Consider the following 20,857-nt stretch of genomic DNA (forward strand, 5'->3'; position numbering starts at 1 on the left):
TAATCTCAGCATTTTGGGAGGCCGAGGCAGGCAGATCACCTGAGGTCAGGAGTTCAAGACTAGCATGGCCAACATGGTGAAACCTCATCTCTACTAAAAATACAAAAAATTAGCCAGGGGTGGCAGCACACGCCTGTAATCCCAGCTACTCAGGAGGCCAGGGCATGAGAATCACTTGAACTTGGGAGGCAGAGGTTGTAGTGAGCCAAGATTGCACCATTACACTCCAGCCTGGGCAACAAGAGTGAAACTCTGACTCAGAAAAAAAAAAAAAAAAGACAAAAATGTTTAAAATAACTATAGCTACAATAATTTGTTAATAGACGCAATAAAATGATGTTAAGTGTGACATCAGTAGCATAAAATGCAAGGTGGAAGAGAAGTAAAAATGTAAAGTATTTGTATGTAATTGAAGTTAATTTGTTATCAGGTTAAAATAGACCATTATAACTATAAAATATTTTATGTAATCCTCATGGCAACCAAAAAGAAAAAAAAATCTAGCAGATATATAATGGATAAAAGGGTACATAATCAAAGCATAGCACTACCAAAAAATTAAATCACAAAGAAAGACAATAAGAGAGAAAGAAAAGAACAAAGGAATTACAAAGCTGTCAGAAAACAATTAACAAATGGCAATAGTAAGTCTTTACCTATCAAGAATTACTTTAAATATAAAGGTTTAAATTCTCCAATCAAAAGACACAGAGTGGTTGAATAGATTTTAAAAATAAAACGAGGCCAGGTATGATGGCTCATGGCTGTAATCCCAGCACTTTGGTAGGCCAAGGCAGGCGGATCACCTGATGTCAGGAGTTTGAGACCAGCCTGACCAACATGGAGAAACCCCATCTCTACTAAAAATACAAAATTAGCTGGGCGTGGTGGCACATGCCTGTAATCCCAGCTACTCAGGAGACTGAGGCAGGAGAATGGCTTGAACCCGGGAAGCGGAGGTTGCAGTGAGCCGAGATCATGCCATTGTACTCCAGCCTGGGCAACAAGAGCAAAACTCCATCTCAAAAAATAAAAAAAAAAATTAAAAAATAAAACAAGACCAATAATATACTGACTACAATAGACTCACTTTAGCCTACATAGGCTAAAAGTGAATGGATGGGAAAATATATCCTTTGCAAATAGTAACCAAAAGAGAGCAGAAGTGGCTATACTTATATCAGCCAAAATAGACTTTCAGTCAAAATCTGTCACAAGAAACCAAGAAGGTCATTAAACAATGATAAAGGAGTCAATTCATCAAGAGAATATAAAAATTATAAATATATATGCACCCAATGTCAGAGAACCTAAACACATAAAGGAAATATTAACAAGACTAAAGAGAGAAATAGATAGCAATACAATAATAGGAGAATTCAGTATGCCACTGTTTTTTGTTTTTTTTTTTTAATTTTTTATTTTGAGACAGAGTCTTGCTCTGTCACCCAGGCTGGAGTGCAGTGGTGTGATCTCAGCTCACTGTAACCTCGGCCTCCCGAATTCAAGCAATTCTCATGCCTCAGCCTCCCAAGTAGCTGGGATTACAGAATTGTGCCACCATGCCCAGCTAATTTTGGTATTTTTAGTAGAGACAGGGTTTCACCATGTTGGCCAGGCTGGTCTCAAATTCCTGACCTCAGGTGATCTGCTTGCCTCGGCCTCTCAAAGTGCTGGGATTACAGGCATGAGCCACCATGCCTGGCCATATGCCACTTTCAACAATGGATAGATCATTCAGACAAAAAATCAATAAGGAAACAGTAGACTTGAATAATGCTATAAACCAAATGGACCTAACAGACACACATGGAACATTCCACTCAACAGCAGCAGATTTCACATTTTTCTCAAGAGCAATGGAATATTCTCTAGGATAGATCATATATTAGGCCATAGCACAAGTCTTAACAAATTAAAGAAGATTGAAATCACATCAAGTATCTTTCCTGAAATCAATAATATAGAACTATAAATTAATAACAAGGAAAATTGGAAAATTCACAAATAGTATTAATAGAAATTAAACAACATGCTCTTGAACAACCAGTGGGTCAAAGAAGATTTAAAAAACTGTCTTCAAACCAACAGAAATAGAAACATAACATACCAAACATGGGATGCAACAAAAGCAGTTCTAACAGAGGAATTTATAGAGATAAATACCTAAATTTTAAAAAGAAAGATCTCACAGCCAGGTGCAGTGGCTCATGCCTGTAACCCCAGCAGTTTGGGAGGTCGAGGTGGGCAGATCACTTGAGGTCAGGAGTTCATGGCCAACATGGTGAAACCCCATCCCTACTAAAAATACAAAAATTAGCCAGGCCTGGTGGCAGGCACCCTCAGGAGGCTGAGGCAGGAGAATTCCTTGAAGCCAGGAGGCAGAGGCTGCAGTGAGCTGAGACTGTGCGACTTTACTCTAGCCTGTGCAACAGAGTGAGACTCTGTCTCAAAAAAAAAAAAAGACAAACTAAGCCCAAAGTTAGCAGAAGGGAGAAAAATAACAAAAATTAGAGCAGAAGTAAATGAAATAGAGAACAGAAAGACAATTTAAAAGATCAAAGAAACTAAGAGTTGATTTTTTAAAAAGATAAACAAAATTGACAAACCTTTAGTAAACTAACCAAGAAAAAAAGAAAGATGACTCAAAAAATTACAATCAGAAATGACAAAAGAATAGTTACAACTGATACCACAAAAATACAAAAGATTAGGTGGATTCCACCAAACAGAGAAGAATAAACACCAATTCTTCTAAAACTTTTCTAAAAAAAAAAATCAAGAGGGAGGAACATTTCCAAACTCTTTTTACAAGGCCAGTATTACCCTTGCATCAAAGTTAGATAAGAACACTAAAAGAAAAGAAACTTACAGGCTTATACTGAACACAGATGGAAAAATTCTCAATAAAATTTTTGCAGGCTGAGGCCAGGCACAGTGGCTCACTTGGGGATGCCAAGGTGGGCAGATCACTTGAGGCCAAGAGTTTAGACCAGCCTGGCCAACATAGTGAAACCCGGTCTTTACTGAAAATACAAAAATTGGGCCAGGTGCGGTGACTCCCACCTGTAATCCCAGCACTTTGGGAGGCCGAGGTGGGTGGATCACCTGAAGTCAGGAGTTTGAGACTAGCCTGGCCAATATGGTGAAACCATGTCTCTACTAAAATTAGAAAAGTTAGCTGGGTGTGGTGGTGCACATCTGTAATCCCAGCTACTTGGGAGGCTGAAGCATGAGAATAGCTTGAGCCCAGGAGGCGGAGACTGCAGTGAGCCGAGATTGCATCACTACATTCCAGCCTGGGTGGCAGAGCAAGACTCTGTCTCAAAAAGCAAAACAAAACAAAAATTGGCTGGGCAAGGTGATGTATGCCTGAAGTCCCAGCTACTTGGGAGGTTGAGGCACAAGAATCACTTAAACCCGGGAGGCAGAGGTTGCAGTGAGCTGAGATTGCACAATGGCCCTCCAGCCCGGGTGACAGAGTGAGACTCTGTCTCAAAAAAAAATGTTAAATTAAAAAAATATATATTAACTGGCTGAATTCAACAGCACATTAAAAGGAGCATACACTATGATCAAGTGGAATTTATCCTTGGTATGTACGGATGGTTCAACATACACAAATCAATAAATGTAATAAACCACATTAACAGGATAAAGGTAAAAATCATATGATCATCTCAATTGATGCAGAGAAAGCATTTAACATCCTTTTATGATAAAAATTCTCTACAAATTAGGTATAGAAGGAAGGTACCTCAACATAATAAAGGCCATATATTACAAACACACAGGTAACATCATATTCACTGGTGGAAAACTGATAGCTTCCTTTCTAAGATCAAGAACAAGACAAGGATGCCTACTCTCGCTACTTCTATTTAACATAGTACTGGAAGTTCTAGCCAGAGCAATTAAGCAAGAAAAAGAAGTAACAGCCATCCAAATAGGAAAGGAAGAAGTGAAATTGTCTCTGTTTGCAGATGACATGATCTTATATGTGGCAGACCCTAAAGACTCCTCCAAAACAACTGTTGGAAATAATTTTAAAATTCAGTAAAGTGCCAGGATACAAAATCATCATACAAAAATCAGTTGCATTTCTATACACTAATAACAAACTATCTGAAAAAGAAGAAAACAATCCCATTTACAATAGCATGAGAAAAAATAAAATACTTAAACCAAGGAAGTGAAAGATTTGTACACGGAAAATTATGACATTGATGACAGAAATGAAAGAAGACACAAATAAAATGGAAAGATAGAAATTCTGTGTTCACGGACTGGAAGAATTCATATTGTTAAGATAGCCATACTACCCAAAGTGCTCTACAGATTCAATGCAATCTCAATGAAATTCCAATGACATTTTTCACAGAAATAGAAAAAAACTATCTGAATATTTATGTGGAACCATGAAAGACCCCGAATGGCCAAAGAGAACAAAGGTAGAGGCACACATTTCTTGATTTCAAATAATATTACAAAACTATAGGAATCAACAGTATGGCAATGGCATAAAAACAGACACATAGACCAATAGAGAGCCCAGGAAAAACTACATGCATATATAGTCAACTAATCTTTAATAAAGGCACTAAGAATACATAATAGGGAAAGGATCATCTCTTCAATAAATGGCATGAGGAAAACTGAATATTCTCATGCAAAATAATGAAATTGGACCATTATCTTACATCACACACAGAGTTAACTCAAAATGGACTAATTTTTCCACTAGTTAGTCCATTTCAAGTTAACTCTGTGTGTGATGTAGTCTAGAAACTCTGGAGGCTGAGGTAGGAGAATCACTTGAACCTGGGAGGTGGAGGTTGCAGTGAGCCAAGATCACACCAATGCACTCCAGCCTGGGTGACAGAGCAAGACTCCATCAAAAAAAAAAAAAAAATTACAAAAATTTGTAAGGCATGATGGTGGGAAGCTGAGGTGGGAGGATGGCTTGAGCCTGGGAGAAGGAGGTTGCAGGCCAGGCACAGTGGCTCACACCTATAATCCTAGCACTTTGGGAGACCAAGGTGGGCAGATCACTTGAAGTTAGGAGTTCAAGATCAGCCCAGCCAACATGGTGAAATGATGTTTCTACTAAAAATCCAAAAAAAAAAAAAAGTATCCAGGTATGGTGATGCACACCTGTAATCCTAGCTACTTGGGAGGCTGAGAGGGGAGGATTGCTTGAACCTGGGAGGTGAGGGTTGCAGTGAGCAGAGATCGCGCCATTGCACACTCCAGTCTGAGAGACAGAGAGATACTCTGTTTCAACAAAAAAGAAAGAAAGAAAGTCAAGCTATTGGAGAAACTGGACAGCAGTGTAAGTGTGAAATGTCTTATAGAAGAGTATTGTGTTGGAATGGCCACCATATAAGACCTGAAGAAACAGAAGGATAAGCTGTTGAAGTTCTATGCTTAAAGTGATGAATAGAAGTTATGAAAAATGGAAAAGCATAAAGCTAAAAATGAAGATCTCGATTATGTATTGAAAGAGTGGATCTGTCAGCATTGCAGTGAACACATGCCACTTAATGGTATGCTGATCATGAAACAAGCAAACATCTATCACAGTGAACTGAAAATTGGAGGGAGCTGTGAATATTCAATAGGCTGGTTGCAGAAATTTTTAAAAAGATATGGTATTAAATTTTTGAAGTTTTTTTGTGGTAAAGCATCTGCTCATCACAAAGCAGTAGAGAAATTCATTGATGAATTTGTCAAGGTCATCACTGATGAAAATCTGATGCCAGAACAAGCTTGTAATTGTCTAAGTACATTTTGTGTTGCTATAAAGGAATGCCTGAGGCTGGGGAATTTACAAAGTAAAGAGGTTTATTTGGCTCATGGGTCTTCAGGCTGCACAAAAAATACGGTGCCAGCATCTGCTTCTGGTGAGGCCCTCAGATTGCTTCCACTCATAGTGGAAAGTGAAGCGAGAGCCATCTTGTGCAGAAATCACATGGCAAGAGAAGAAGCAGGGGTTGGGGAGGTCCCAGGCTCTTTTTAACAATCAGCTCTCTCTAATAGAGTGAGAACCCACTCATGCCTCCTCCCCTCAGGGAAGCCATGAATCTATTTACCAGGGATCTGCAAACCCCCGCCCCACACTGCCCGATTCAAACACCTCCCATTAGTTCCCACCTCCAACACTGGTGATCAAACTTCAACATAAGATTTGGAGGGGACAAACATCCAAACTATAGCAATAATGCTAATGAGACATCGCTATTTTGGCATTGTTGCCCCAGAAAGACACTGACCACTGCTAATCGGACAGCTCCTACAGGAATTAAGGATGCCAAGGACAGAATAACTATGCTGGGATGTTCCAATGCAGCATGTATGCATAAGTTACATAAGTGTAAACTTGCTGAGGTAGGGAAAAGCTTGCATCCTCACTGTTTCCAAAAAGTGAATTTCATACCAATCTATGATTATATTAAGAAAAAGGCATGGATCACCAGGAATATCTTTTCTGATTGATTTCACAAACATTTTGTACCAGTGGCATGTGCTCACTGCTGGGAAGCTGGGCTGGATGGCAATTGGAAGATTTCATTATTCCTTGACAACTGTTATGCTCATTCTCATCCGCCAGCTGAAATTCTCACCAAAAATAATGTTTATGCCACGTACTTTCCCCCAAATGTGACTCCATTATTTCAACCACATGACCAGGGAATTCTTAGATAAGAGTAAATATAAAAACACTTTCTTAAACAGCATTCTAACAGCAGTGGACAGAGGTGTGGGTGTGGAAGGTTTTCAAAAGGAGTTTAGCTATGTATACTATATATGCTTTTGCAATGCTTGGCACACAGTGACTAAAGTCACTGGCCTGGCATAACCTGTGTCCTACAACTATGTTCAGTGATGATGATAAACAAGATGGTGACTCTAAAGGATTCCATATGTCAAGTTAGAATAAAATGATGCCTGACCTCCTTACATATGCAAAAAATATACTTTTGGAGTCTCTAAGTAAGCTGGAAGAAGTGAATATTGAAGACTTTTTAACATCAATACCGAGGCTCCAGTTGTTCATTCACAGATTTATGGTAAAATAGCGAAAATGGTTCTGAATCAAGGTGATTGTGATCATAGTGATGACGAAGATGATGTTGTTAACACTGCAGAAAAAGTGCCTACAGATGACATGGTGCAAATGTGTGATGAGCTTATTGAAGGATTTGAGCAGTGTGCATTCATAATAGAACAAGAAATCATGTCTGTTTATAAAATCAAGAGAGACTTCTAAGGCAAAAACCATGGTCAATGAAGCAGATTAATCTGGAGGAAACACTTTAAAAAGCCAGCAGATGCCCCCTCATCCCTAGAGGACCCACTTCCTGGTCCTTCAACTTCTTTTGATGTTTCTTCTCACCTAAAAAAAAGAAATACAGGCTGGGCGTGGTGGCTCACGCCTGTAATCCCAGCACTTTGGGAGGCCAAGGTGGGTGGATCACCTGAGGTCGGGAGTTTGAGACCTGACCAACATGGAGAAACCCCGTCTCTACTAAAAATACAAAATTAGCTGGGCGTGGTGGCACACCTGTAATCCCAGCTACTTGGGAGGCTGAGGCAGGAGAATCGCTTGAACCCGGGAGGCGGAGGTTGTGGTGAGCTGAGATCGCGCCGTTGCCCTCCAGCCTGGGCAACAATAGCGAAACTCTGTCTCAAAAAAAAAAAGAAAGAAAGAAAAAGAAAAAGAAATACAGTGTAAAGTTGTAACTTTTTAATTGAAACGCAGCATTGTAGACAGAGAAGCAAAAACATTTGCTTCCTTTGTCGTTACCATTGTTTCACAGCTGATACAGGTATTCTGGCGATGCCACTGTGCTGCTTAGTTTCCCTGAACACATTATTTTTTCACTGTATTAATGATATTTCACATTTTTTATTGTAAGTACTAATGTGTGAATAAGTCTGAGAAAATGGTTGCTTATTGGTAGCATATAAATTCAGAGTCAGGAATGATGATGATGCCAAACAACCACAGATTGTCCACTTGGGTGGCTGAGATAGTGATACTTGTGCTTTCTGATGGTTCAGTGTACACAAATTTTGTTTTGTGCACAAAATTATTTAAAATATTGTATAAAATTACCTTCAGGCTATGTGTATAATGTATATATGAAACATAAATGAACTTTGTGTTTAGACTTGGCTCCCATCCCTAAGATATCTCATAATCTGGAAATATTTCAAAATCTGAAATCCAAAACACTTCTGGCCCCAAACATTTCAGATAAGGTATATTCAACCTGTATCTGCACTCCCATTCTCATTGAGCAGTATTCACAGTAGCCAAGATATGGAAATAATACAAGTGTCTGTCCACAGATGAATGGATAAAGAAAATGTTATACACACGCACATACACACACACGTGCACATACACACACACAGACACACACACACACATATTGGAATATCATTCAGCCATGAAAAAGGAAGAAGATCCCACGATTTGTGATAACAGGCTTGAACCTGGAGGAGATTATGCTAAGTGAATTAAGCTAGATATAGAAAGACAAATACTATATTATCTCACTTATATGTGGAATCTATACTAGTCAAACTCATAGAAGCAGAGAGTAGAATGGTGGTTGCCAGGGGCTGAGGCGAGGGGGAAGGGTTGTGGAGGGAGATGTTAACTGAAGGTACAGACTTTCAGTTCTAAGATTAATAAATTCTGGGAATTTACATACATCATGGTGACTATTGCATACTTTTTTTTTTTTTTTTTTGAGACTGAGTCTTGCTCTGTAACCCAGGCTGGAGTGCAGTGGCGCAAACTCAGCTCACTGTAACCTCTGCCTCCCAGACTCAAGTGATTCTGCCACCTCAGCCTCCTGAGTACCTGGGACTACAGGCATGCTCCACCACACTCAGCTAATTTTTGTATTTTTAGTAAATGGGGTTTCACCATGTTGGCCAGTCTGGTCTCAAACTCCTGACCTCAAGTGATCCTCCCACCTCAACCTCCCAAAGTGCTGGGATTACAGGCATGAACCACCACACCCGACCTATTGTGTACTTGAAATTTGCTGTGTGCATAGATCTTAAGTGTTCTCACCACAGGTGACAATGTGAGGTAATGGATATGTTAATCAGCTTGATTGTGGTAATCATTTCACTGTGTGTGTATACATATAAAACATACATATAATCAAATCTTTATTATATGGATAAAATCATCACATTGTACATGTTAGAGGTATACAATTTTTATTTTTTGATTATACCTTAATAAGGCTAGAAAAGTTAAACCATTTTTCAAAATAAAAAATTAAAAACAATAAAATGTAAATGCTCATTTTAAAAATCAGAGAAGTAGATATAAGAAAAAAGGAAAAAGTATCCATAGTGCTACCATCCTTCATCTTCAAGTCTTTGCTCAAATATCACTTTCTCAGTGAGGCTTTTCAGGACACGTGGTTTAAACTTGTTGCACTACCACTTCCACATACACAAATGCTGGGTTCTTCTGATCTTTAGCACTTCAGGATGTGTGAATCACTGTTTAATTTATGTCTTTGTTCATTGTCTATATTCCTACCCAGAATTTAGGCTCCATGAGGTCAAGGACTTTGTCCACTTTGTTCACTGTTTTATCCTTAGTGCCTGTACATTGTTGGTCTTGAATAAACGTTTGTTGGAGGAATCCAAACACAAGTACTGTTAACATTTAGACTTTTTTCTTCTAGTTTTCTAGGCAGCAAGTTTTACTATTTTGTAACAGGATGGAACACTAACATCTATTCAATGCCAGGCACTGCGCTAGGGATTTTACATACTATATTTCATTTTATCTCTCAAAACCCCTCAAAGATATTATCCCTGATTTACAGATGAGAAAAACAAAAGCTCAAAGATATTAATATGCTCAAGTTCACACCCTAGGAAATTGAAACTGGATTCAAATCAAAATCCATGACTCTAAGTCTGTGCAATTTCACTGCATCATTGTCCTCTATATAGTTGTACTCTAGCTGTATCTGTATTCATATTTATCTTTTTCCACTTAGTTTTATATCCTAAGTATTTCCTCATGTCATCACATTCCATTTCCTATTTTAATGGAAAAAGCTAACTGTATAAATGAGGGTCATACTAGAGATAGCAGTAATATACATTGGCTGAAGGTCATAAACACCTATCATTTAAGCGTTTCATTATGAACTTTCCTAAAAATCATATTTAATCTAACCTTCGTGCTTTTATCCAAAAGCTCATCCCTACTCCTGTTCACCTACCCATATTTGTATTACTTGGGATTCTCAGATTCAACCTAATCACTTAAGTTTTTGTTTTTTAGGGAGGTTATTTATGATAAGACACAAGATTCACTCACAGATTTGAAGCTGAACAGTTAAGCCTTGAAAAAGTCCTCTGGCCCTTGGCCATTGGGGCTTGCTTACCATCCCCTGCCTTTGAATTTCTGCCTGTTGGCATCATCCTCTCAGACCAGCTTTGAAGACATAGCTGCCTTGGGCACACATCCTTGCAGCTCTCTGACTAGAGAAAAAAGGAATATCTTTCTTCCGCTTGAGTCTGAAAATGAGTGGTAAAAAGACACTGAATGACCTGGGCGGGACTTTGTGCCTATCTAGAGACCAGTCAATGTGCCCAGAAGAAAGAAGAACACTGATTAACTCAACTTGAGCATGTGCCATACCTCTGAAGTACTTCATGATTAGTAGCCCCCACATGGTTTTAAGGAGCATTTGCCAGAAAAAAAAAAATGCCTGTTCTGTACAGACAAAAGGTTGAATGCCCCTCTATAGGCCACCGCACCTGGCCTCAGGTGCTTTTTGAGTGGACTGAACTTCACGATCATTACCTCACATCCTCACATCACAGGTCAAATCCTGTCTCCTTTCTTGATGACTTCATTCATTATGAGAAAAGGTTCATGGAGCGCCTACCATGTGGTAGGCATTGCTAGGTTCTGGAGACATCCATTTACTCATTCAGTCAGTCAGCAATTTTTATTCAGAGCTTTCTGTGCCAAGTACTATGCTAAGTTGCTGGGGGACACAGCAGTGAGGAAGACAGATGAGATCTCTGCCCTCTCAGAACTTGTGTCATGTCGGCCAGGCGTGATGGCTCATGCCTGTAATCCCAACACTTTGGGAGGCTGAGGAGAGTAGATCACCTGAGGCTGGGAGCTTGAAACTAGCCTGGCCAACATGGCGAAACCCTATCTCTACTAAAAATACAAAAAATTAGCTGAATGTGGTTGCACATGCCTGTAATTCCAGCTACTCAGGAGGCCGAGGCTGGAGAACTGCTTGAACCTGGGAGACAGAGGTTGCAGGAAGCCAAGATCACACCACTGCACACCAGCCTGGGCAACAGAGCGAGACTCTGCATCAAAAAAAAAAAAAAAAAAAAAAAAAAAGCAAAATTTATGTGGGGACAACAGTTAATAAACAAGTAGATAAATGAAACAATTACAGATTGTGAGAAGAAATGAAGAGATGAAAAGCGTACCTTATTCAGAGAATGATGAGGGTGGGCATGGGGGAGGGTGTCTGCTTGGGTGGTGAAGGCCAGGCTCTCTGAAGAGCTGATACTGGAAAACTTAACCAACCCATGTGTCCTCCTTTTGAAGCCCTCACAGGCCTTGGCATAGAGGCTGAGCACATGAAGATCTGCTAAAGTGAATGGGAAACTAGGGAAATGAAAATAAATATCTAGCTTAGTGTAAAAGTAAGGAAATATTTTTTGAAAATTGAAACCTGTTGGGTAAAGGTCATGCTCTCTTAGAGCTTTTGAAAAAAAACACATCATTTAACAGTCATTAAGAAAAAATGTGTGACCACAGGAACTGCAGAGTTCATAGGTTTCAATACATATTTCAAAACAAGCCTCAGAAATAACAATCCAATGTGTCATTGCTATACAACTCCTTGAAAAATAAATCCACAACAAAAGGAAAAAAATAAGACTATTTTGCAGTCCAGATATCTAAGTATTAAAGAACTTATAGGAGCCTCTGAAAATCCAGTAGGCATGTTTATGTCTTTATGATGATCTTCTCCCCTGGATAAATTTGTTTTTAGAAAGAACTAAAAACTTCTATTTTGAGATTGCTCTGTACACATGCATGATATTTGACCATGTAGAGTCATGAACATGCTCTGTCTATACATTCACATACATAAAGACAGGGGGATGTGGAAAGGATATGGATTTAGTCAGATAGAATTGGGTCCCAATTCTGGTTCCAGTACTTTTTTTTTTTTTTGAAACGCAGCTTCACTCTGTCATCCAGGCTGTATTGCAATGGTGTGATCTCAGCTCACTGCAACACCCGCCTCCCAGGTTCAAGCGATTCTCCTGCCTCAGCCTCCTGAGTAGCTGGAATTGCAGGCACCCACTGCCACACCTGGCTAATTTTTGTATTTTTAGCAGAGACGGGGTTCACCATGTTGGCCAGGCTGGTCTTGAACTCCTGACCTCAGGTGATCCACCAGCCCCAGCCTCCCAAACTGCTGGGATTACAGGCATGAGCCACCGCGCCCGGCCTGGTTCCACCACTTATTAGCTGTGTGATTTTGAACAAGTTATTTGACTTTTCCAGGCCTCATTTCTCATCTGTGAAATAGAGGTAATAATAACTTCACAGGGTTTTCTGAAGTTTTCATTAAATCAGATGTGTTGAATGCTAGGTAGATGTATTGAATGTGAAACAGAGGCAAACCCTAATGAATGGTATTTATTCATTTATTTAAGATTTACTTATTTACTAGGCCTGGACAAGACATAATCTCATTTCTATTACTCTTACAGTCTATGAAAGAGAAAATTCAGAATATTTCGTTTGCTTCTGATTCTGATCACACTAGAAACATTAAATGACAACCACTACTATTTCATTAACATATCAGGAGTCAATTGGAACAAGTTCAGCTGTGAAATAATTTTGAAAAGGTTAAGTGTTTTTCTGTTCTTTCTGCTTTAGCTCAGAACATACATGGGATACATTTAATTATTCATGTGTAAAGGAAAGATCCCAAATAACATTCAGTCAAACCAGTATTTTCACAGGCCAGAGGGGCCTTGGCCATCTGTGTGAGTGTTGTTGCCTCTCCTAAGTTTTCTGCTCATTCCTGCATCTGTGATCTGGTTCAAGGTGCTTTTTTCTTTTTAATTTTTCACTTTTTATTTTTTTATTTGAGATAGGGTTTCACTCCTGTCACCCAGGCTGGAGTGCAGTGGCACGATCTTGGCTCACTGCAGCCTCCGTCTCCCACACTTAAGCGATTCTCCTGTCTCAACCTCCTGAGTAGCTGGGACTACAGGCACATGCCACTACATCTGGCTAATTTTTTTTTTTTTTTTTTTTTTTTTTTAGTAGAGACAGGGTTTTGGCATGTTGCCTAGGCTAGTCTCAAACTCCTGAGCTCAAGTGATCTGCCCACCTTAGCCTCCCAAAGTGCTGGGATTACAGGTATGAGACACCACACCTGGCCTCAAGTGCTTTTTGACAGGACTGAACTTCACATCTACTCATCTCAATTTCATTCATCCTCCTACCTAGTTATTCATCCTCCTTACCTAGTTACTCATTCCATCTGCCATCATAGCTTTGGTTTTAGGGAAAGGGGATTTCACAGTTCTTTTGTTCCATCAACAAACAATATTTACTCTTGAATGTCTCAAATTTTTCTCACCTTTTTATAAGCAGGAATTCCCCCTTAAATTGTCTCAGCCCGTCTTTAAGTCATGCTGCCTCAAAAATGGAGTACTGGTATCTTATAGTTACTTATAGTGACTTGGTCCATATTCCACCTAAAGTAGAAATCTTTAAAATATCCTACTTGAGATGATGGGGCAATCAATACTTGAAGACATAGCCAAGTCCTTATGGGTAGCTCTAATCTTAAGAAAGGTTTTCTTTTCGTTAAACAGTTCACACAGGCTATCTCTGGAGAGTAGAGATGGAGGAAGGTGAGAGGCAGGAAAGGAAAGGGAAAGGAGGAGAAAGATTTTCAAGTTTCATAATATACCCTTTTGTTATGAATGTATTTTTTCCCTTGTGGGTGAATTACTTAAATTTAATCAAAATCTGCATCCCCTTAACCATCAGTACTAGAATTACACACAGTAAATCTGACGCTTCCTCCAAATAACACTTTCAAATCTTAAACTACCTTGTCCTTTTCATGTCTATTCATCTTTAAGCTAAGGACACTATTCCTTCAAATGTTCCTCGTATGATCAAGCACATACCTTTATTAGTTACCTCTTGCAGCATTTATTTTTTTCTTCCCTTGACCCAATAGCCCCTGATTTCTGAGCGGGGCTCCATCTGGTTCTGGAGAAGCTGACTCTGCCCCTGCTCCAAGGGTGGAGTATATGACCTAGGCTATCGTTCCTTTTTCCTGGCCACAGAGATGGGTTCAAGGGGTGGACACTTGATCAACGCTAGTCCAATCAGAACAAATCTCAGGGGTGAACTAGAAATGATAGTTTTAAAGTGTGGGGTGAAGATGAGGATGCATGGAACCTTGGGAATTGTTGACGTTTATCTTGGACCATGAAGGGAAGAGCCTACTGAAAAATGCACCAATATTCAAAAAGCAGGTGGAGAGATGGAGAGAAAAATCTGAGTACTTCTTGTATGAGAAGAAAGGCCTTGTTTGAAGGCAATTCTACTTTAGAATTATGTGATTTCAACTACAAGTCAACATACTATTTTGCTTAGCCCAGTTTGAGTCTAGTGCTTTGTTACTTGCAACTGAAAATATCCTGACTGATATGTGTGAGATGGTTCTTCCCTAGAGTTGCCTGCCTTTGGACAGACTTCAGTTTGTCAGTGACCTGCTTACCAGGTTCCCAGAACACAACCTACTATTGTAGATGAGATTGACCATGGCAGGCCACAGAGGCTTTCTAATGAGCCTGGATCCCAATGTATTGCTATTATGTCTGAACTTGAAACTGTACTGGAATTTTGATCACCCCAATTCCAACAACTATCACCAGAAAACTACCTATTTTACGAATCATTTGGGAACACAAACCCTAAACACCCAGGAGCTTGCAGGAGAAAATAGAAAGGATATTTCAGAATATACTTTTGATATTTCAGAATATCCTTTTCTATAAAAAGTTCAAAGTCCCTTCTGTTTCTGCTTTAGCTTTCAGAAACAGAATTACCAACTCCTTGCTTAGTTTAATTTTGACATGTGTATTTAACAAATTGCAGGTTTTCAAAATAATTACTATACACAAGTACTGTTTAAAAAAAAAATTTTTTTTCTGAGCAAAGTAACCACCATGTTTTGCAACCATGTTGAGTGGTTGCCATCAACGATGAAGTAAGAGCACCGGAGGTCTTTCCTGGGGAAGAACACAGCTCATGCACCCCCAAGAGGCCTCTGGGTTGACATTTCCTTGGTGACTTTACCAAGATCCAGATTCTGGACCTCAGTTTGGGCAGGTCCATAAACTAGACTTTATAAGTGTATTCCCAGAGGTGCAGACTCAGTGGAACACTCACATGAGATGGACATGTAAATCAGAATGCCAATGCTTTCATTTTTCAATGGAGATGACCTTTTGCAGGAGATAGATGACCTGCATTTCATTCAGAACACCACACTTCCCTTTCCTAGGGGTAGAAAATTGGAAAGCTGGATTAGTAATAAAGACAACTGCTGGGTGAGCATGGAATTAAGAGAAAGGGAGTGGATTGTCTTGAGGACTATTTCACCCAGGTCATGATGAGACTCTGATAAAATACATCCTCACACATGGGTGATAATATTTATCTAGGGGGCTGGGCACGGTGGCCCATGCCTGTAATCCCAGCACTTTGGGAGGCCGAGGTAGATGGATCACCTGAGGTCGGGAGTTCGAGACCAGCCTGACCAAGATGGTGAAACCCTGTCTCTACTAAAAATACAAAAATTAGCTGGACATGATGGCGGGTGCCTGTAATCCTAGCTACTTGGGAGGCTGAGGCAGGAGAATTTCTCGAACCCAGGAGGTGGAGGTTGCAGTGAGCCCAAACGGCGCCACTGTACTCCAGCCTGGGTGACAGAGCAAGACTCTGTCTCAAAAAAAAAAAAAAAAATCTATCTGGGGGCCAAAGGGAATGTGGCATGGTCCACATTATCAAAGTTCTCTTTGTAGAATGACAATAGCTAATACTTATTTATGGTAGTTCTTACCATGTGACCAATCACTATTCCAGACATCTATTAACTAACTTAATCTTTGTAATAAGACTTTGAGACTTATGCTATCATTAGCCCCATTTTACAGATGCTAACACTGAGTCACAAAAGGGGAAAATGACTTGCTAAAAGTTGCATTGCTAATCAAGTGGTAAAGCTGGGATTCATATGTAGCCTGACTCCAGAGTCCATGCCTTAAATTGCTATGCTATACTGCTTCTTGAATGCTGTGTTTTTCTGTGCTACACACTCATCTCTGCTGCTACATCCTACATAACACATTAACTACTTTATATGCTATTTGACACCACCTCTATAGTTAGTTCTGAGTCCTGATAATGCTATGTCTCTGAAATATTTTCATCTGTATATATACACATACATGCATAAAATGTATGTATATATATAATTTCTCAAGAAGATATATACGTGTGTGTGTGTGTGTGTGTGTGTGTGTATAAAATCCTTTACTGTTGCCTCTATACATACCAAAAAATATAAACAAAACCATGCTAGTATGGGCTGTTGGCTAGGAAAAGAACTTTGTTATATTGAACTGGACAGTGTGGTGATAGTTGTTAAAATAGGATTCTGCCTATATTTAATCCTTCTCCAAAAAAGGAAATATTTAGTTTCAGAGAGGTATTACAGCAAGAAACATTAGAGAAGAATGAGGAACGTGCATTGGCCTTCAATCAGAATGTAATGCTCCAGTCGAAGCCAGCTGTTCCTGCATCAGGCCTAAGGCAGCACACCCTTGGCCATGCTGTCTCTGAATCTCTGCAAAAGAGCCAGGTTAAGTCTGGATTTTATTGAACTGATCCTATCCTTCCTTCACAAGGATTGTTTTAAAACCACTATAATCTTAAGAAATATTCCCTTGTTATTTTCTTTTTTAAAGTTACATTTTAAAAAAAAGATTAAAAATGTATGATTCAAAAGCCTAAATGTATGAAAGGTAATTCAGTGAAGTCTTTTCCATGCCCAAACTCCTAACACTTGGTTTCCCTCCTGGGAGGCAATTATCAGTTCCTTCCTTACTTATCCTTCCAGAGATATTCCATTATCATTTCCTTTTATTGTCACTTTTTTCCCCCAGGAGATATGTAGTTGGGCCTTTTTAGCTTATTTTGCCATACTTTCTTTTTCTTCTTCTCCTATCCCTTCTTTCAAAAGACAAGGTTAAGCTCTCCTGCAGACTTTTCTTCTAAATGCCAATCTGCCCTTGGTTGATATTGGTTTTATCATCTTCCAAATCCAGTTTCTGTTCTAGCTAGGATTAAGCTTGTATGCGACAGCTAGTGGTCCCAGTCACCTTCCAATGAATGATGGATGGGACCAGGAGGAGCAACGGTTCCCTAATACCATTAATTACAAGATTTTCATAAGCTCAAAATTCTAGAACTGACAGTTGCTTCCAACTGTTACCAGCTGTTAATTTGGCAGAGGTGTTGGGGATCTGAGTGCCGTTCTGCAAACAATCTGGGACAGCGGCTGGCTCACCATATATCTTCTTTCACAGGCTCTGTGATGGTCGATTCTGGATTTCTTGGGTCTAAAATAATATCCTAAGCCCATTCCAGAGTCCACATGTCTATCACTAGCCATGTGACCTTGCAGGAGTAATTTACTCTAGGTACTTTGTTTCTTGTCTGTAAAATGAAGGAATTGGATGCAATGATCTCTCAACTTCCAGTTCTAAAAATTCCGTAAGAAAATGGGATCTGTTGTTAAATGGTGAATGTAACCACAGTCCTTTTCTCTTTCCCCAAAAGCACTTAAAGCTTGAAGGAGTGAAGAGTTTGACCATGATCTCGAAACAATAGCTGATGCGTCCCTGTGCAGTTTTAAAGCAACTGCTTAGGGGTTTCTATTCTTCTGTTTTCTCCTAGCGGGTTTAAGAACTGCTGTCCCATAGCTGGAAAAAAAAGAAAAGAAAAGAAAAAAAAATTCTGGCCCCACACACTGGCAAGTAGATTTTAAAATAATTTTTAGTTATTATGAAAACAGAATTATGGGCTGGGCACAGTGGCACCCTGTAATCCCAACACTTTGGGAGGCCGGGGTGGGTGGATCACCTGAGATCAGGAGTTCGAGACCAGCCTGGCCAACATGGCAAAACCCCATCTCTACTAAAAATACAAAATTTAGCCGGGCATGGTGGTGGGCATATGTAGTCCTAGCTACTTGGGAGGCTGAGGCAGGAAAATTGTTTGAACCCGGGAAGTGGAGGTTGCAGTGAGCCGAGATCACGCTACTGCACTCCAGCCTGGATGACAGAGTGAGACTCTGTCTCAAAAAAGAAAAGAAAAAACAGCATTATGTATGTATGTATGTATTTATTTATTTATTTATTTATTTATTTTGAGATGGGGTCTCATCTCACTCTGTCACCCAGGCTGGAATGCAATCTTAGCTCACTGCAACCTCTGCCTCCCAGGTTCAACCAATTCTCCTGCCTCAGCCTCTGGAGTAGCTGGGATTACAGAGGCATGCTCCACCACACTCAGCTAATTTTTTTTGTTTGTTTGTAGTTTTTTTAGTAAAGGAGTTTCACCATGTTGGACAGGCTGGTCTCTAACTCCAGTCCTCAAGTGATCTGCTGGTGTCGGCCTCCCAAAGTGCTGGGATTACAGGCATAAGCCACCGCACCCGGCCAAGCATTAATTATTTTTAAAGTATGGAAAGGCAGTGGCAAAAGAGCAACCCCCTCCTTTTTAACGTCACCTGTATAAGATCCAGTTAATCTATAATTCTCACCCAATTTGAATGTTATTTTGAGTCTTCACAGTGGCAGTTTTGCCATATGCTTGTTGAGTTAGATGCATCTCCCTACGAAAGGCCAACCTAGCTGCAGTGACTTGGCTTTTTGGGTGGCAGTACACTGGGTGCCGCATTTCCATGTAGGCACATTGGCTTGGTAAATTCTGAAACTCAGTTTTGTCGGGACACTCAGAAGTGTCACTTTTTCAGGACCCAACTGCACAAACCAAACTCCCAAACTCCTGATAGACTGATACTCAATCCAGACTGACATCTTATCTATTTGCAATGGGAGATGTACTTTCTTCACAACCAGGATGCTCGGGCCTGCTGTCTAGGCACCACCTTTCCTATATCAAGGTACCTGGGGAAATTTTTTTTATTCAGAAGATTTGAGGAGCATGGAATTAGTAAAAGACATCACATCCAGGCCCTGTTAGATAGGATAAGATGAACAATTTCTACTTTACGAAAAGTTCTAGGCTGCAGGTGCTTCACATTTGATTCATTTACTCATTCAGTGAACATTTACAAGCCCACTAGCAGATTTACTGGGCCATTAAAGCTTAAGTTTCATGGCCCTCACTTACAAGGGCCCTTTCAAGGCTGTTGGAGTGGCCTTGGTAATATGTTGATACATTCATACTTTTTGTAAGATTTTCAAAAGTAAGATATTTTACATGCAGTTGGTTAAGACTACTATCTCTTTGTGCGCTGACTTCCTCGGTCACACTTCCTCTTGAGTAGGGTGGCACTGGAGTATCTCACAGGCATTTTGGGGATCTGGCAAATGAGAAGTTGAGTTGGAGCTACAGTATGCTGGGGTTTAGAGGGCTGACTTCGCCATGTCAGAATGCCTTTGGGGAGTGCTTCTACTGCCACTGAGACAGCTTACCCAGTATTGAGACCCAAGGGTCTCAGTGGTCAAAAAGCCAGATTGCAACATGAACATGTCCTGTAGTATTGAAGGTAAGTGGAACAAAAGAGAAAGAAGGTTTGAAATGTAGAGTCAGAAGCTAATCTGTGGGAAACCCTTCTAGCCTTCACATATGTAATGTTGTAAGTAGAAATTTCAGTAATCTTGAATGCCTATTCAAACTGCGAGTTTTCTCCCATCGGGAAGAAATTATGCAATACATACAATTATCCATACATACAATTATAAACATGTCACAATTTTTTTTTCTTGATGAGAATGAGGAAGAGTAGAACTTATTAGAACCTTTGTATTTGTATTGTAGTATTACAAACTATGAATATATTTGTGTGAAAAGTTAAGTATTTTGTATACCCCAATCATCAATAATTTAATTTTTTTTTTTGGATCAGCCAAGCTAGAAAACTGAATTAGCTTTCAATTCTGTCTCTATAAATTGAGAATGGCAATGAGGTCATGGACCCAGCCTATGGTCCCTTAAAAGCCAGCAGCATTCTCCTTCCACACACCCAGTGCTCAGGTTCAGGAATCTTCGCTGAGACTGGGCCCCTGGTGCTGAGATCCTAGCCCTTAGATACAACATGCAGCCAGCCTCTGCTGATGCTTCCCGGAAACTGCTGCTGAGCAGTGTGAGATTCCCTGTGGCTCCCCCTTTCTCCATCCAGGGGAATTTCTGGAGAGAATTACCATTTCTCTCCAAAAGTTAAAAAAAAAGAAAGAAAGAAAGAAAGAAAAGTATTTGCCCTCTTCTCTTTCCTCCAGGACACTCTTCATAATTCTCTTCAAGGGCCTTGGGATTTTTACAAAACCCAAGAGGAGGCTTTGACTCTATTGCTGGTAAATTTTGCCTGGGAAAAATCCCCAGTCCCAGGAAAGCAATGGAAGATGTACTTTCTCCCATTGAGAGAAACTGGGAACCCACTCAAAATAGGGAGAAGTGAAAAATATT

The 20,857-nt window shown here is 39.9% G+C and overlaps 1 non-coding gene across 1 annotated transcript, besides 2 other annotated features; it reads left to right on the forward strand.

Annotated features, from left to right (window-relative positions):
- The first annotated feature begins 4,695 nt into the window (after nt 1-4,695).
- Nucleotides 4,696-4,781, forward strand: MIR4424 (microRNA 4424). Its single transcript, NR_039622.1, has one exon. It is a non-coding gene; the product is annotated as a microRNA 4424 (primary transcript).
- Nucleotides 8,808-9,368: an enhancer, noted in NCBI's record as "NANOG hESC enhancer chr1:178650996-178651556 (GRCh37/hg19 assembly coordinates)". NCBI's record gives its function as "activates a minimal SCP1, AML or CMV promoter by ChIP-STARR-seq in naive H9 embryonic stem cells {active_cell/tissue: H9 hESC(naive)}" and the evidence as "EXISTENCE:reporter gene assay evidence [ECO:0000049][PMID:30033119]".
- Nucleotides 10,918-12,117: an enhancer, noted in NCBI's record as "BRD4-independent group 4 enhancer chr1:178653106-178654305 (GRCh37/hg19 assembly coordinates)". NCBI's record gives its function as "activates an origin of replication core promoter dependent on BRD2, P300/CBP, MED14 and CDK7 cofactors, and independent of BRD4, by STARR-seq in HCT116 cells {active_cell/tissue: HCT116}" and the evidence as "EXISTENCE:reporter gene assay evidence [ECO:0000049][PMID:35650434]".

This window comes from Homo sapiens, chromosome 1 (assembly GCF_000001405.40).
Source record: "Homo sapiens chromosome 1, GRCh38.p14 Primary Assembly".
Taxonomy (NCBI): domain Eukaryota; kingdom Metazoa; phylum Chordata; class Mammalia; order Primates; family Hominidae; genus Homo; species Homo sapiens.